Source organism: Homo sapiens, chromosome 6, assembly GCF_000001405.40.
Source record: "Homo sapiens chromosome 6, GRCh38.p14 Primary Assembly".
Lineage (NCBI taxonomy): Eukaryota > Metazoa > Chordata > Mammalia > Primates > Hominidae > Homo > Homo sapiens.
The window spans coordinates 135268489-135285767 of NC_000006.12; the positions used below are offsets into that span (position 1 = coordinate 135268489).

General features: G+C 39.6%; 1 protein-coding gene across 9 annotated transcripts in view, besides 3 other annotated features; it reads right to left on the reverse strand.

Moving 5' to 3' along the window:
* Window positions 2322–3216: an enhancer, noted in NCBI's record as "OCT4-NANOG-H3K27ac-H3K4me1 hESC enhancer chr6:135591948-135592842 (GRCh37/hg19 assembly coordinates)". NCBI's record gives its function as "activates a minimal SCP1, AML or CMV promoter by ChIP-STARR-seq in primed H9 embryonic stem cells {active_cell/tissue: H9 hESC(primed)}" and the evidence as "EXISTENCE:reporter gene assay evidence [ECO:0000049][PMID:30033119]".
* Window positions 2743–3037: a silencer, noted in NCBI's record as "tiled region #8645; K562 Repressive non-DNase unmatched - State 23:Low". NCBI's record gives its function as "represses a minimal TATA promoter and a strong SV40 promoter by Sharpr-MPRA in K562 cells {active_cell/tissue: K562}" and the evidence as "EXISTENCE:reporter gene assay evidence [ECO:0000049][PMID:27701403]".
* Window positions 12072–14426: an enhancer, noted in NCBI's record as "VISTA enhancer hs1351". NCBI's record gives its function as "enhancer in: eye[8/9]" and the evidence as "EXISTENCE:transgenic organism evidence [ECO:0001131][PMID:17130149]".
* The window catches only part of AHI1 (Abelson helper integration site 1), a 214209-nt gene continuing 211973 nt past the window's right edge, over window positions 15044–17279 (reverse strand). For all 9 annotated transcript variants that reach the window (XM_047418943.1, NM_001134830.2, XM_011535911.4 and 6 more), the window contains one exon: window positions 15044–17159. In XM_047418943.1, coding sequence (XP_047274899.1) covers window positions 17138–17159 — 22 coding nt within the window. In that variant the 3' untranslated portion in view covers window positions 15044–17137. The remainder of the gene's footprint in view (window positions 17160–17279) is intronic.

Genomic DNA, 17279 nt, shown 5'->3' on the forward strand with positions numbered 1-17279 from the left:
GTGACCCTCCCACCTCAGCCCCCCTGAGTAGCTGGGACTACAGGCATGTACCACCATGCCCAGCTAATTTACTTTATTTGTAATTTAACTTTTGTAGGGATGGGGGTGTCTGTATATTGCCCAGGCTGGCTTCCAACTCTTGACCTCAAGCGATCCTCCTGTCTTGCTTCTCAATGTGTTGGGATTACAGGTGTGAGCCACAGTGCCCAACCAAGAGCTTGTTAATGAAGTGTTAGTAGTGTGGATCCCATGGCTTCTCATTCTGGTAGCTGCATTGTAAATCACCTTCTCTCAGCACAAGGAACACTACAGATGACCATTCTTGATGATGAACATGCCCGAAACATACCGTAACACAAGCACAGAGCATGAGCTCAATAACTCACAGCCATGGAGCAGTGTTTTGGCTTCTGAATGGAAAAAATGACATGTACACAACTCTGATACTTCCTTAAAGAGGCTTAGTAAAATCATCACACTTGCCCAGCCAGGGAGCTCCCCATTCTATGTCTTTGGCTTTGACATGGCCTTTGAAATGAGTCCATGCGAGGTTGAAGGCATCTGTCTAGATGTTCAGGTCTCCATACTCACACCTGTTAACCTGGCAGTAAAATAATCAAAGGAACTCTGTGGCCTGGAAAGCAATCCATCTCATTGATAAATCAAACCTTTTGTATGAATCTTGATAAAACTGTGTGGCCAAAAGTGATTGAATTTAAAAATTTTGAATTTTCATGAATTGTTTTGATCTTAGACATAGATCACACCTGTTAGTGATTGTGCATGAAATAAACTACCAGGATTATGTGGGAATCATAGCCTTGGCACCATGGTGGTAATCAAAATGAGGCAGACGCTTGGATGCAGGTCAACTTCATCAGAACAATAGGTGCTGTCAACCAGACAGAGATACTGTAAGGAGTAGCCTCAGACATGCTACAAGCCGAGGTCAGGAGACGCACCTCCTCCCCGTCGGAGTCTAGGGTAGGCATATCTACACCAAGCCTCTGCTTCCATCCAATTCACAGAAGCTGCATGAATGGTAAGAAGATCTCTTTAAGTTCTGCTTCAATATTTATCCCTTTCACTTGTACTGCTGTCACCACTACAAGCTGGAAGCAGAGAACTCCCAGGCCCAGAGAGGCCCATGGGGACACTGAGAGCTGCTGATTTTCTTTTCCCTTTGGCCATTTTATGAGGGAGACACCACGCACATTCTAACAGATTCATGCACAAGGGGTTATAGTATGCTCTATATTCTTGGCCTTGAAAATTTTTTTTTTAAGTTTGTAAAGGTAATTATGATTGTTTACAGTACTGAGGGCAAAGCCCCACCCTGGGCTCCAGGCCAGGGGCTCTGGGAGTTGAGTGTAGTGGGGTGAGCCAAGTCCAAGACAAAAGCACAATTATGCTCACCTAAAAACCCACACTGGTGGTAGGGGGATGAAGGAAACACCTACACAAATGGGAGGTGTGTGGAGGGAGGGGCTTCCTTTGAAGTTTTGCATAAATCGTATTAATTTTTTTCCTATAGAGCTGGGAATGAAGATTCTTGGTTTTCATCCTGTATCTCTTATTGAGTATTGAGCTGTGCCATAAGGAAATGGGCTTCCTTCTTACTTGATTTGCCAATGTTTAAAACTGAACTTTAAAGAAAAGAATTTTGGAAGAATTAAGAGGAAAACAGGACACCTTGTACAAGGTTTCATAAAGCTTTCTTAATTTTTTTGGCCAAAAGAAACAAGTCAGCCCCGGTGCAGTGGCTAACACCTGTAATCCAAGTACTTTGGGAGTCCGAGGCAGGCGGATCACCTGAGGTCAGGAGTTTGAGACCAGCCTGACCAACATAGTGAAACCCCATCTCTACTAAAAATACAAACCAAAAACAAAAACAAGAACAATTAGCTGGGCGTGGTGGTGCGCACCTGTAATCCCAGCTACTCAGGAGGCTGAGGCAGGAGAATTGCCCGAACCCAGGAGGCGGAGGTTGCAGTGAGTGGAGATCGCATCACTGTACTGCAGCCTGGGCAACAGAGCGAGACTGACTCAAAAAAAAAAAAGTACTCAAGTCAGACACCAAAAGACTCTCTTTTTTAAGCCCATCTCCCTTCTTTCTGATCCAGGTCCGTTTTCTACTTATGAAAGTTTAAACACCACAGGGTGAAAAATTGTTGCTACAGTCTATTGGGTTCGCTGGGTCAGGAAATAATTAGCAAATACTCAACTACTTGCATACGTTACCTTCCTGTTAACTCTGCTGTACTTTTTCTGCCTGCCGGGATTAAGGCCAGATGATTATTTGTCCTAATGTTATGAATCATTGACAAGAAAAGCTTGTAATGGCAGTGTTGACATGCCTTTACATCCATTGGCACCACAAGGTAACCAGGAGCAATCAGTGACAGGGAAAACTGGAACATATTGTGGAGGAAGCGGGGGCGGGGCCCCCTCCCTGGCCTCAGAATGGCTGGAGCAGGAATTCCTCACTACCTGCTTCAGTTCCCAAAAGGCAGGCTCTAGAGATTTGGTACCACAGTTCAGAAGAACAACCACAGGGAGAAGAATTTTCCCCTTTAGTCCAGGAGGAATATGATTTTTAGGAAACAGACGCAGAAACCTGACCTTGGCTCACAGCCGCCTTGGTGAAGCCAAGGGCTAAGTTTCGGGGCACTGGCCTGCCCTTCATTGCTGCACACACCCAGATACACACACCTGAGAGAGCTTGAGCAATCGGCTCTGTACGCCCAGCTCTGCACTGCCTGGCAGCAAAGAGGAAAGGGGAATTACAGGCAGGCTTGACTTGAAACACTGCTCTGGCCCCACCTGAATTCCAGGTGCCCCAGGGAGTCCCTTCAACCACCTGGAATTGAGGCTGTTTCAAGGTACAGATGCAGTGTGTGTTTGTCTTGCTTTTGTTTGCACCTTCTACCAGCTGGAAGCCAGAAGGTGTGGGGCTCTGCAAACAATTTTGATGTAAATAAAGAGAATGTAAGAATTAAAAAGACACCTTGCAGCTGAGCCCAGGGCAGAGGGGCGGGGGTACAGGCTAAGAGAGGAGGGAGGTGGAAAGCGGGGAGGAGTGGAAATAGATTTCCTCTAGGAAATAGAAATAGACACAGGGCCAATGTGGGATGATGTGATCCTACTGCATATTTTCCATATGTTAATATCCCTCCATACGATTCCTCCTCAGATCGGTTATTGATAGATAGAAAATAAGCCTGTGGGCCTAGATCTGCCTCTGCTCTTTATTTATTGAATGTGCCTACTATGTGCCAGCACTAAGGTAAGCACTGGGAATAGATGTGAAAACACATTATCATGTGACAGACAGCAAATTAACACCTACGATGAGGCTGTTTATGGTGCAACAAGGGCTGCGAGTGACAAAGGGCCATCTCCGTCTCCTTAGGACAGTGAGAGAACATGCCAAGAAGGAAGATCTTCCACAAGGACCTCTCCTTTCATCCCAAAGCAACCCTAATAGTCATAATTCTTACAAGGGTGTGGAACGCATTGGGGATGGTCTTCTATTCACCATTCTTTTTGGACTAGGATAACTTCTCTGTATCACATAAATTTCGAAGAAAAAAAAAAGTTTACTTAAACGTTAAAGGTTTTTTTGTTTTTGTTTTTTTCTTTGTTACCCAGGCTGGAGTACAGTAGCACAATCACAGGTCACGGCAGCCTCGACCTTCTAGGCTCCAAGCGATCCTCCCATTTCAGCCTCCCAAGTAGCTGGGACCACAGGCACATGCCACTATGCCTGGCTAATTTTTTTGTATTTTTTTGTAGAGACAGGGTTTCAACCATGTTGCCCAGGCTGGTCTCAAACTCCTGGGCTTAAGCGATCACCCCGCTTTGGCCTCCCAAACTGTTAGGATTACAGGTGTGAGCCACTGTGCCTGGCCTAAATGTTAAAGGTTGATGTAAATATATAAATATTTCCAGAGCAATATGCAACCATGAGATCATTTTGATCAACCTATTTTGTTGAAGATTGTTTTGTAAAAGGTATTAGAAATTTGGAAAATACTAAATGTTTAGCTTGCTTCACTGTTTTTCTTTTTCTTTCTTTCTTTTTTTTTTTAGAGACAGGGTCTCACTGTTACCCAGGCTGGGGTGCAGTGGTGCGATCATGGTTCACTTCAGCCTTATTCTCCTGGGCTCAAGCAATCCTCCCACCTCAGCCTCCCAAGAATCTGGAACTACAGGTGTCTGCCACCACACCTGGCTATTTTATTTCTTATTTTTTGTGGAGACGAGGTCTCACTATGTTGTGTAGCCTGGTCTGGATCTTACTCATTTTTTAATAATAAAAAGTTACTTTTTGTCAACTGTGAGTGGAAGAAGCATTTAAAAGAAGCTAGTTCATTTTAAAAGAAATACAGTGTATAGTTTGGCACACTCAAGGGCAGTAACCTAATGATTAAGAGGGGAATTTTGGAGTCAGACATCCCAGAAATCTGATCCTGACACCCCAACTTAAAAGCTGTGTGATCTCAGACACACTGTTTAACCTTTCTGAGCTTTAGGGTTTTTGTTTTGTTTTCAAATGGAAGTAGTAATATCTACCTTGTAAGTTTATTCTGAATATTAAATGAGATAGTGCACATTTCCTAACAAGAATCCTAGTTTACCTAGTGTGTGCTCAGCAGATGCTAGCTATTATTAAAATTAGTCTATAATTATGAATAATTATAACAATAAACACTTTTTCTTTTCCTGATAAATTATGACTCTGTACATAGAACAAAGTAAATTGGAATAATGGCAATTATTTTGTGAACTTAATAGCTGCAGCCTACTAAAGTGGTTAAATAAATTTTTAAGCAGAGTGATGTGGTATCACTAAGAGTAATTTATTTATATTATTTTATTTTATTTTATTTTATTATATATATTTTTTGAGACAGAGTCACCCTCTGTTGCCCAGGCTGGAATGCAGTGGTGCGGTCTCGGCTCACTGCAACCTCCACCTCCTGGGTTTAAGCAATTCTCCTGCCTCAGCCTCCTGAGTAGCTGGGATGACAGATGCTCGCCACTGCACCTGGCTGATTTTTGTATTTTTAGTAGAGACGGGGTTTTGCCATGTTGGCCAGGCTGGTCTCGAATTCCTAGCCTCAAGTAATCCACCTGCCTCGGCCTCCCAAAGTGCTGGGATTACAGGCGAGAGCCACCACGCTTGGCTAAGAGTGATTTATTTAATATGATAAATGCCAAAATTACATTTCTCTGGCTGTGTAGACAGAGTGGGTGCCATAGTGAGGTTACCCACAATGGCCTCCATTCTTAAGGAGCTGACCAGACTAACATTGATACTTAGAAGTATAGTTACACAAATCCTCAGAAGGAGTATAAACTCAAAAGTTGAAAGCACATCAAGAGTAAATTAAAGGTGTTCAGCAGCATTGCTGTCAGTCACATAGAAACCCGAGTGACAGTGCCCTGACCATGAGCAGATGAGGCTGAACTAAACTAGTGCCAGAGGACGTTGAGTTCCATGTCTTTCCTCCATCCAGTCAGTATAAGCGTGACTTCTACACCTCTGCCTCGTGGTCATCAGGGTGCTCTTGAAACTTTTTTTTTTTTTTTTTTTTTTTTTAGATGGAGTCTCGCTCTGTCGCCCAGGCTGGAGTGCAGTGGTGTGATCTCATGGTAACCTCTGCCTCCTGGGTTCAAGTGATTCTCCTGCCTCAGCCTCCTGAGTAGCTGGGACTACAGGTGCATGCCACCATGCCTGGCTAATTTTTGTATTTTTGGTAGAGATGGGGTTTCACCATGTTGGTCAGGCTGGTCTCGAACTCCTGACCTCGTGATCTGCCTGCCTCTGCCGCCCAAAGTGTTGGCATTACAGGCGTGAGCCACTACATCTGGCCAAAACTTCTAATGTCAACACTGCTGGCTGGGCTGGATATTGGGCTTGCTTGTTGAACAAAGAGTTGTTCGAAGCTTTTAGATTTTTTTTTTTAGATTATAAAAATATGGGTGATGCAAAGGACTAGGTTCACTTAATGGCACGAAGACTAACCCAAGGAACTGTGAATCCTTATCGTTGGATGATCAGACTCAGCCACAGTGATGCTCTGGACTTTTGTTTATGAATCTAGGAATCTTTTCTCTCAGATAACTATTGAAATTGTAAATAAAAAAGTGACCGAGATATCAGATTCACAGGCAACAATGTTTAGATATACAAATTTTTAGAAGTCTTTTGAGGGCTATTTACCCACAAATGAATGAGAATGCAAAATATGATGCAAAGCAGATTTAACCTTCTGGCTAATTTGCCTCAATAAAAAAAGTTAAAGACATAAAAGGAAGATTACATCCCACATTTTAAGATTGTGTCTTTATGTAAATAAAAAGTTACTCAGCATGCACTTCAGGCATGAGTGAAGGTCTCTAAGTTCACAGCGTGGAAGGGACTGCCGTCTGGGATTCCCCAGCATCAGGAGCAGACTGAGACAGTGATCAGTAGTCGTGTTAATGGTTAAATTTTGAGTTCAGTGAATGCTACTGGCTGAAGTCAGGCAGAGAAGAAGAAAAAAGGGAGCCAGAAATGAGAAAAAAAGAGAGTGTGATATAGGGAAGAGAGAATGAAAAAAGAAAGAAGACAGCTGTGACCACGGGAAGCTATGGTAGAATGACTAATGAAATACTTTTAGATTTCTCCATAAATTCCCTATTCTTGCTGGGCATTTAGAATTTTAAAAAGATTATATTCCATTTGAGAACATTCTGTGATACTGAGCAATTATAAGAATTGTCTCAGGCAGAAAAGATATATTGAATAATACATGTTGATTGATAGATGGAGAATATTAGTAGATTGTTATTTCAGCCTTTCTATTGTGATCCACACCCAGGTCCGAACAGCATTTTCAGCCTCCTACTGTGTGCCAAGTCAGTGGCTGGTGTCATGCATACAAAGATGTGCATGATAGCATTTCTAACTTTCGTGAGCTCACAATCTATAGGTATGTCAGTTTCAATGTTCTGTGCTAATGTCTTGATAGGCATTAGGTGTAGGGCATAATGAGAACACTGGGAGGTAACTCACCCAACGTTAACAGATCAGGAAAGGAATCTTAGTGCATGTGACATTTGAGATGAAACCAGAATGGTAATACCCAGGAAAGGCACTGGGAAAAAACTGTTTTCAAGTAGCAAGAACTCAAAGGCTTGGAGTGTCAATGGTCATCGGAGGGAAGTAGTATGGTCCTGCTGCCATGTGAGCAGAGGACTTCCACAGCAAGCCAATGAACCTGGAAAAGCCACAGGAGTGGATCCTGGAGGCTTTTGTCCACACTGCTGAGCTGCTTGTACTTTTTCAGCTGAGATCGGGCACGTTCAGGGTGGTATGGCTGTAAACGATACTTGGACTTTTACAGGTATCAACCAAGTTTCTTAATTTTTCTGTCACTTCCAAGGTGACTGAATTTCATTTGTGGTATCAGAGGGCACAAAGATAGATGTATAGGAATTATTCTAGGCAAACAGGAAGATCTCAATGGATTTAGGATAATGGATGGGGCTTCAGTGTGGAGTTTTAAGGAGGCTGTGGTATGGTCAGGCTTGCATTTCATGAAGTGGTCTGTGGTACTTCCAGCCTGGTGAGTTGATCTAAAGAAGCCTTAGGTCAAACGGAAATATATTACCCCTTAATAGAAAACACAATTTATTTGCATTTGAACAATAACTATTGGATTTGAATATACAATGCATTAAATGATTGTGTTTTGTTTGGCTCATAAAAAGTTTTCGAAAAAGGAATTCTGGTCTTTTCTGCATATCTCTTTTTCCCATTTACAAAACATAAAACTTAAATGCTCTTACTTGATACAAAAACATAAACTGTGGAAAGGACACCCTGTTTCATAAATGGTGCTGGAAAAACTGGATAGCCACGTGTAGAAGAATGAAACTGGATCCATATCTCTCACCTTATACAAAAATCTACTCAAGGTGGATCAAAGATTTAAATCTAAGACCTGAAACCATAAAAATTATAGAAGATAATGTTGGAAAAACTCTTCTGGACATTGGCCTAAGCAAAGAATTCATGACTCAAACCCCAAAAGCAAATGCAGCAAAACAAAAATAAATAGGACCTGATTAAATTAAAAAGCTTCTGCACAGCAAAAGAAATAATCATCAGAGTAAACAATGCACAGAATGGGAGGAAATATTTGCAAATTATGCACCTAACGAAGGACTAGTATCCAGAATCTATAAGAACTCAAACAAATCAGCAAGAAAAAAAAATCCCATCAAAAAGTAGGCAAATGACATAAATAAACATTTCTCAAAAGAAGATATACAAATTGCCGGGAAACATAAATAAATGCTCAACATCACTAAACATCAGGGAAATGTAAATTAAAACCACAATGAGATATTACCTTACTCCTGCAAGAATGGCTATTATTACACTTGATCTTAGCCAAAAGGCTGAGAAGCGATAAGAATGGCCATCATTAAAGTCAGAAAACAATAGATGTTGGCGTGGATGTGGTGAAAAGGTAACAGTTTTACACTGCTGGTGAGAATGTAAATTAGTACAACCTGTATGGATAACAATATGGAGATTCCTTAAAGAACTAAATGTAGATCTACCATCAACCCCACTACTGGCTATCTACCCAAAGGAAAATAAGTAATTAAATGAAAAAACACATGCACACACGTTTATTGCAGCACAATTCACAGCTTCAAAGATATGGAACCAACCTAAGTGACCATCAACCAATGAGTGGATAAAGAAAATGTGGCATGTTGGGCTGGGCGCGGTGGCTCACACCTGTCATCTCAGCACTTTGGGAGGCCAAGGTGGGTGAATCACCTGAGGTCGAGTTCGAGACCAGCCTGGCCAACATGGTGAAACCTTGTCTCTACTAAAAATTCAAAAAAAAAAAAAAAAAAAAAAATTAGCCAGGCATGGTGGCAGGCGCCTGTAATCCCAGCTACTCTGGAGGCTGAGGTAGAAGAATCGCTTGAATCAGGGAGGCGGAGGTTGCACTGAGCCGAGATCGTGCCATTGCATTCCAGCTTGGGCAACAAGAGTGAAACTGTCTCAAAAACAAAACAAAAAAAACAACAAAAAAAGAAAATGTGGCATGTATACACCATGGAATACTACTCAGTCATAAAAAGGGACAAAATAATGTCTTTTGCAGCAACTTGGATAGTGCTGAAGGCCATGATTCTAAGTGAAGTAATTCAGGGATGGAAAACCAAATACCATACGTTCTCACTTAAAAGTGGGAGCTAAGCTATGAGGACATAAGGACATACAGTGATATATTGTCTTTGGAGACTCAGAAGGGGGAAGGTGGGAGGAGGGATGTGGGATAAAAAACTATATATAGGGTACAACGTACACTACCTGGGTGATGGGTACACTAAACTCTCAGACTTCACCACTATATAATTAATCCATGTAACCAAAAACCACTTGTACTCCAAAAGCTATTGAAATAAAACATATTTTTAAAAATTCTCTTATTTGACCTGTGTTGGGATTTCATATTTTAGATTCTTGCCTAAAAATAAAATACACAAACAGAGAATTGCAGCAAAAACACAAACATAAATGACTACAGGAAGAGACCATAAGTTGATTCCAAAAAACATATATCTAAATTAGCCTTACTAATTCATAGTTGTGTCTTACACAGGGAACACAGATTGGCTTGTCTTATAATTTATTTCCACATTTCTTCGATGTCAGTAAAGAATTTTCCTGTTTGGAAAAACATAGCACTGGGCAGAGGGCACCTGGGTTCTGATCAATTGTTGGTCTAGTCATTTGACTTCTTTGTAACTGGTTTTTAAAAGTGGGAGAATAATGCTTTTTTTTGTCTACTAAAGATTGTTAATGAGGCTCAAGTTTGGTAGAGTATGGAGTTCCTCTGACAGCCACTGTAGGGTGACAGCAGCCATAATAAATATATGACAATTTCAAGGTGAAACAGAGTAGAAGAGCCAAGGCTCCTGGTTCAAGTGTCTGTCAACAAACGGGCATTCAGCAATTAAGCTGTTGAGTAAGTGAATGTGTACACATTCACATTTTGACATACACATACATTAAAACACATATTTAAGTGTTAAAATTATTGAGGATCCTAAATTATAAAAATATATTTAGGAAAGTAGTCCTTAATTCCAGCTACTGGTAGGTAAATAGAACTAGTCACACTATCTGTATCCAGTTGTCAATATAGTCAAAAAATGAAAATAAATGGTGGGGAGGGCGAGAGGAGGGAGAGCATCAGGGCAAATAGCTAATGTATGCGGGGCTTAAAACCTAGATGACAGGTTGATGGGTGCCGCAAACCACCATGGCACACGTATACCTATGTAACAAACCTGCATGTTCTGCACATGTATCCCGGAACTTAAAGTAAAATAAAAATAAAAAAAAAAACCTAACATCCTCCCGCCATGTGTGCATAGAAATGTCATTTCTCCTGACTCTCTGATGCCACCTTGTTTACATTTTTTACCTACTTTTACCCTCATTTATTCAAACTCATCATTTGTAATAACCTGGTTTTATTTTTTATTTTTTTTTAATTTTCTTTTTTCTTTTTTCTGAGACAGAGTCTCATTCTGTCGCCCAGGCTGGAGTGCAGTGGCGCGATCTTGGCTCACTGCAACCTCCGCCTCCTGGGTTCACATGACTCTCCTGCCTCAGCCTCCCGAGTAGCTGGGATTACAGGCGCACACCACCACGCCCGGCTAATTTTTTGAGTATTTTTAGTAGAGACGGGGTTTCACTATGTTGGCCAGACTGGTCTCGAACTCCTGACCTCGTGATCCGCCCGCCTCGGCCTCCCAAAGTGCTGAGATTACAGGCGTGAGCCATCGTGCCCGGCCTATAATAACCTGGTTTTAAAGTGGGATTTATCAGAACATAGACCGTGTTCTATGAGGGATATTCAGTTTTAGTTGTGTAGGAGGTTGAGAAAATACAGGACTTTTCAGCATTAGGATTTGATGATGCCGCTTTAGGTGAGAATGTCCCCTAAACAGCGGGAGTTGGCAGGAGGAGGCAGGGTGCTGCCACGGGTGTCTGTGGTCCTGGACAAGTCACTTGTGTGAAAGAAGGGTCTTCGTTCTCATGTTTTTGGGCACACCCTCCACCTGATTTCCCAACTGTGACATGGAATAGCTCTGGAAGGGGACCTTCTGGTGGAGGAAGCAGGAGGCCACACAAGCTTCTCCTCCATGGTCTCTCATTTACGTTTCCCTTGAGCTACTCAGTTTGGGGATCTGCTGGATGCTTTTCTTTTAAAACTTAATCCCAAGCAACAAACCTCTTAGGTCTTCCGAGACAGGATCCGTTTCCAATAGTAAGGATAAAGAAAGAAAATACAAAGAACACACAACTAGTCAAGTGTTTACAGTTAACCTGTAGTAAGCAGGCTGGGACCACTTGAGGCCCCTTGCCCAGCTTCTCACCTCTTTCCCACTGAGCAGGACTCATTCTCCATCCCTGGGACCTTTCCCCAACATCTTTTCCTTCTCACTGAAATGTCCAGATTTAAGGTTCTCAGACCCCCTTGACTCCACTTGTTTGTAGACTGAGAAACTGATCTTCTCTAGGAAATGGGCAAGGCTGTGGACCGTCATACAATATAGATCTCACTTTTCATGGGAAGTAACTTCACTTCACTCCTGGAGCAAGAAGCCTCGTTTACTACATAGCTCCATCCTTAGCGTCAGTCACTATTTCACCTGCATCAAATTACACACATCAAGTCAAGAGCGGCTCTGTCTTTCACACTGATATGAACCAACAAATAACATATTGTTAGATAGGATCTATTTTGGCCAAAAACCCCACAAGCTTTACATTTTCTTCTTTCTCTGGATTGGATGGGGTTGGAGCAGGAATAATTTCTGTATCATTTGTACTTTAAGTTTGCAAATGGCAGGACTGCAGCTTCCAGAAGAGGCTGGCACACAGAAGCTGGTCTTGTGAGCTTGGCTTACAGGAAAAGAATGTGTTTGAGAGACAACCAAGAGAGAACTGATCTTCAAATCTTCCAGGAGAGAATCCATCCTATCTAGCCCGAGGGACACATGCATGGGAAGCGCTGACCAAACTGTATCGTTCCCCTTCCCAGGACTGTCCCTCTTCAGGAAAAGACCACACATGGCAGAGAAAAGACTGAACTCATGATTTCAGTCTGGGATATTTTCCATATTCTATATATTGTTATTTTGAAATTCAAAAATTACAATCTGTCCTTGGCTACAGGGTACTCTAAATATTAACAGCCCTATATTCATGTATGAAGGCAAAAAAAAAATCTACCTTCACTTAATGTGACTACAGGATCTCTAACAACTATAGTATAACAGTCTGTCGCAAGTGTATTGGATGTTTCAGTTTGCCAGACCTGTCATGATAAATTAATTACAGGATGTTGCAGAAATGGCAACGCTCCAGCAGCATCTTGCATAGTTTAATATAGACCCATTTCCCCATTTCAATGTATTTGTGGTTAGATAAATCCTCAGAAATTTACAGCTGCTATAGACTAGTTTATTATGTACTCTGCCTGCACACATGATAAGTATAAGAATTCGATGTGCTTAAAGTGCATAGATTTTACTGATATTTCTTTACCACCATGGAAATATTTAGTTGCTAAAAGTAGCTTCAGTAGACACGTCTGAACATTAACTTTTGTATAATAGGCAGGGATGGTTAAACACATTACTGTGCTTAACTTTTATTAAAGAATCATAGTTCAGGAAAAGTTATGTGGAGCATTTATACAGAATGGCCCTGTGAACAAATTTAAGACCAAAAAAACACCTTAACTACTGATTCTCAGCTGAAAACATCAAAAAACCAAACTGAAGCTACCAAACTTTTCTCTAGGGAACCTTCTTCCTTTAGTCTTGTGACCGCTTTGCGCAAGCTTCAGTTGCTTATTTTTGCCCTGGCAGCAAGTTATGTTCCTCAACTTCTTGCTTTTTCCTCCTTTCAGACTATTTTTTTCTTATCTTCACTAACATCTCCACTCCAAGCAATGTTAAGAAATCATCCTTTGATTGGCAATATTTGAGTTTACTTACATAAATGTTTTATAAGGAAACCATTCTTAAATTTTCTTCTATTCTTTCATTGGGCTCAAATCATTTTTATGAAGAAATGAACTACAGTGAGTAAAAATCATATTGCTTAGTACTTTTAGAAATAACACTGAAGTATGTATTGGAGCATTTTGACCTAAGTGATAAGAGGTAGAACATGAATTATGTGTGGTGTACATATCCCTTTTTTAGATTGACGAGAAACTAAAATTGATTCTTAGCAGCATTAGCCTCCCTAGCTTTTCGAGACGAAAATAACCCATCTATAATCAGTATGAATTTGAGGTGTTAGAAGAGCAACTTTAGAAAACCCACTGCTCACAACATATGCTTGATGTAGATTTGAAGGGGATCATTAGAAAAATAGCATTCTTTGTGTTTACAAAACAAATGTTTTTGTTATCCAGTTCCCGCCTTAGCTTAAAGTATTTCCTATTCACAATAATTAGAGCAGAAGGATATGAAGAATGAAGTGCCTCATTACCAAGTTTGCTTCCTGGGCCTCGGCAGAGAGTAGCTGTCTGCTTTTGCCTAGTTAGTCCATTGTTAACCCTAAATGATGCTGACATTCAATTCTCCTGCATATAATTGTGTCCATCCATAGAATGAGTTCTCCAGTCAACACAGCCTTTTGATTGACATGCTTCTTGATGTTTTTATTCTCTCATATATGACTGGAATGGCGCCTTTTCGGTTTCTTGAATAAAATGTTACTGTACATGTAATTAGTTTGATTCTACAGAATCTGTTTCTTAAGGAAACATAATTATAGTATGGAGTAAAGATTTACTAAAATAATTATGATAAACAAATGATCAGTTTTTTTTAAAAAAAGTTCACTCAGATATATTTTATTTTATTTAGGTCACTGTTGAATGACAAACATTTGAGATGTTTCTAGTCCCTGAGTGTGGTCATAGGCACATGCCAACTGCTTCCTTACTCTTGTGTGTGTTGTCATGTCCAAATATCAGCATTTTCCTCTCCACAGCAACTGAGATCCAGTACTTTACAGATCACCCAGTGGAGTCTGATATCTCCATTTGCAACTAGCAGTGGCTGGAGTTGTGCAGTTGGAGAAGTTACTTAACCTTCAGAACTTGGTTTCCTTAGTTCTAGAGCAGGGAAGATTTTATCTATCTCATAGATTTGATGTGAAGAGTAAATGAAGTCATGTACATAATAAAGTGAGGATTTGGGGACTATTTTCGGTACAGTTCAATTAAATAGAAACGAACAAATATATAGCTTAAAACATTTGGATTGCTTAAAAGTGTTTCCATAATTCACTAAACAGATATGGCCATCAGATGGAAATCATTTGAATACACATAGAAGTGTAAGGTCACAAACTTTTGTTATAGTTTCTAGAACTTCCTAACTCTTAAAAATATTTGTGGCTAAATATATGACTAAAGTGACAACATGTCACATGAAGCTATAAAATGGTAAGTTATTTCTCAAATATAGTCTTGCTGAGCTTCCTAAAGACATCTTTCTTTAATTAAATTCTTCTATAATTTAAAGATAATATTAAGGTCAAGTATTCATTTGTATGTGATAGAAACCCTGCACAAGATTTCAGAAGTACCAAGCGTTAGCCATTTAAAAGCACTGATTTCATTTAAAATATGCATTTTAAACATAAATTTGCATTCACTGTGTAAAATATTTCATGTTTTAAATCTTTTAAAAACTTGATTTTTATTCTAGCTTTCCAAGTCCTATACATAGTATCATTTCAATACTGAAGAAACATTAATCTTCAAGACAGAGTTGGATGAATAACTGGGCAGTGCATTTCCAACAATGGTTTAAAAATATTATTTAGATATAGAAGAAGACAGTGTCAAATTGTTACTTGTTTGGAGAAAAGAGATGACATGGGATAAAATTCAGTACTTTCAGAATAAAGATAAAACAAACCCAATTTGTTATAAGGAAATGTTTAATGCCGTACATCATCAAATGGATTCTGGTGTCTGATTTTCTGCTTGATTATCAGCTGGATCTATTGCTTGGAGGGCACTGTCATGATCTCCCCCACCCCATCTCATCTCAGATTGTGTGGTAAAGAAACATCTTTTATTAATCTATTCATGAACATAACCCTAGTCTTACTTTGTCAGCGAGACAAAGGGGAAAAGGACTGGGCTTTCAGTAGAGCCAAATTTTCCTGGTGTTTGCTTCAACTGCTATTTTTCTCTTTAGTAGTTGCAATATAAAAACAACCCTTTATTTTTCATATAAACATCAAGAGCTTAGCAAATGCTTAGCTCCCCCTGACATATTTTTCATTCATCTTAAATTATTTCTAAACTTGTTGAAATTCTTGGTGATTCAATCAGAAAATCAACACATATCTCAAAATTATTAGCTGAAACTGCAGAGAAACAGATATTTTTATTTTTAAATTATCAAGTGCATTCACAAGACAGAAAAAAACAAGCTTGTACAAGAGTGACTCAAGCTGGCTGGGCCCAGCTGTACCTGACACACAGACTTATACATCCAGAACAATGAAAACTCAGTGCCATCAGAACAGACTTTTGGGCGGATGGCTGTAGGCTTCACCAGTTATCAGTGCCACTCAACACTTTCAAAAATGCCTTTTTTTTAAAGTTCTACACAGCGGGACATGTTTACCAATTTTTATGCCTCTACATGTGCAGGGATAAGAGCCAAATATATTTTTATTAGAAGATATTTCACACTGGGTATACATCTGGGCAAAATTTACACCTCAATGCCCAACATTGTTTTTCTCACTTCTTATTTTAATGGAATTGACTGTCTAATTTGGATAGGTCTTTCTAATTTTATATTAGTTTTCACTTTCTTGGGGTTAAATATTTTATCAGCAGACCTTATCACACACTTGAGAAAGGAGTCAAGAAAAGAACAAAAAATGAATATCCCATTATAATATCAAACTTCAAAACATATAGTCTATAATAATGACACTATTATTCTGGAACTTAGAAAAAATAAATAATGCAATATAATAATGTAAAAATATTAAGATTAAAATAAATATTAAACAATGTAAGTCTACAAAATAGGTATGTGCTTAAATATGAAAAGCCTTTTTTAAAAAGTAAAGACATTGGGAACATTGTTGCCAGTCCAGCCAAAAATCACTTTTAATTTAGGTCTATGAAGTTACCTATATGATTTGATCTTAAGAAACACAAAATTTTAATTAGAAAGTAAATTGTTTTCTTTTAATGTCTTTGTTACTGAGACTGTTTTGAATGCGCCATATTCTAAAGCTGCTTATCTTTTTTGTTTTTTGGAGATAGAGTCTTGCTCTGTCCCCCAGGCTGGAGTGCAATGGCGTGATCTTGGCTCACTGCAACCTCTGCCTCCTGGGTCAAGCAATTCTCCTGCCTCAGTAGATGGGATTACAGGTGCCTGCCATGAGACCCGGCTGATTTTTGTATTTTTAGTAGAGATGGGGTTTCACCATGTTGGTCAGGCTGGTGTTGTTGAACTCCTGACCTTAGGTGATCCACCTGCCTCAGCCTCCCAAGGTGCTAGGATTACAGGCATGAGGCACCGTGCCCAGTCAGCTGCTTATCTTTTAAATAAAGTGAATTTCAAAAACAGATACTTCATATTCTGGGCATAGCATCACACATACAACCATTACCAATATAATAATATTAAATGATTACTTAACAGACATCCTAATAACGCAAACACCTTTTATTCACATTTGCTGAGTAGCAATTACAGTGTTTTCTTCATTAGTTTTCCAACACTGGTAATGTAATTATGATGCAATTACTAACAATATAAGTACCAATACTTTGACCAACAATAGTCACAATGGTTTATAACAACTGAACTCAAAGGCCACGTTGATTTTTCCACCCACAACTTGATTCTGATTTTTCTAGAGTCATTCATAAGAACAAGAAGTAGTGGATCCTTTCTTCCTCCTTAGTATCTGAAAATTCTGAACTCTGAAGAGAAATTCCATTTGGTTTGTCATTTTCACCTCTGTGCATTTCGGCAGCTCTTAACTTTTCTTCAATTCTTTACTGGAAAGAAAAATACACAAAATGTACTAAATAAACTTGAATAATGTCTTCTGACTACAACCAAATCTTAGTGTGCTCAGGCAACAGCACAGGTAATAAAGGACATTGTGTAAAACACAA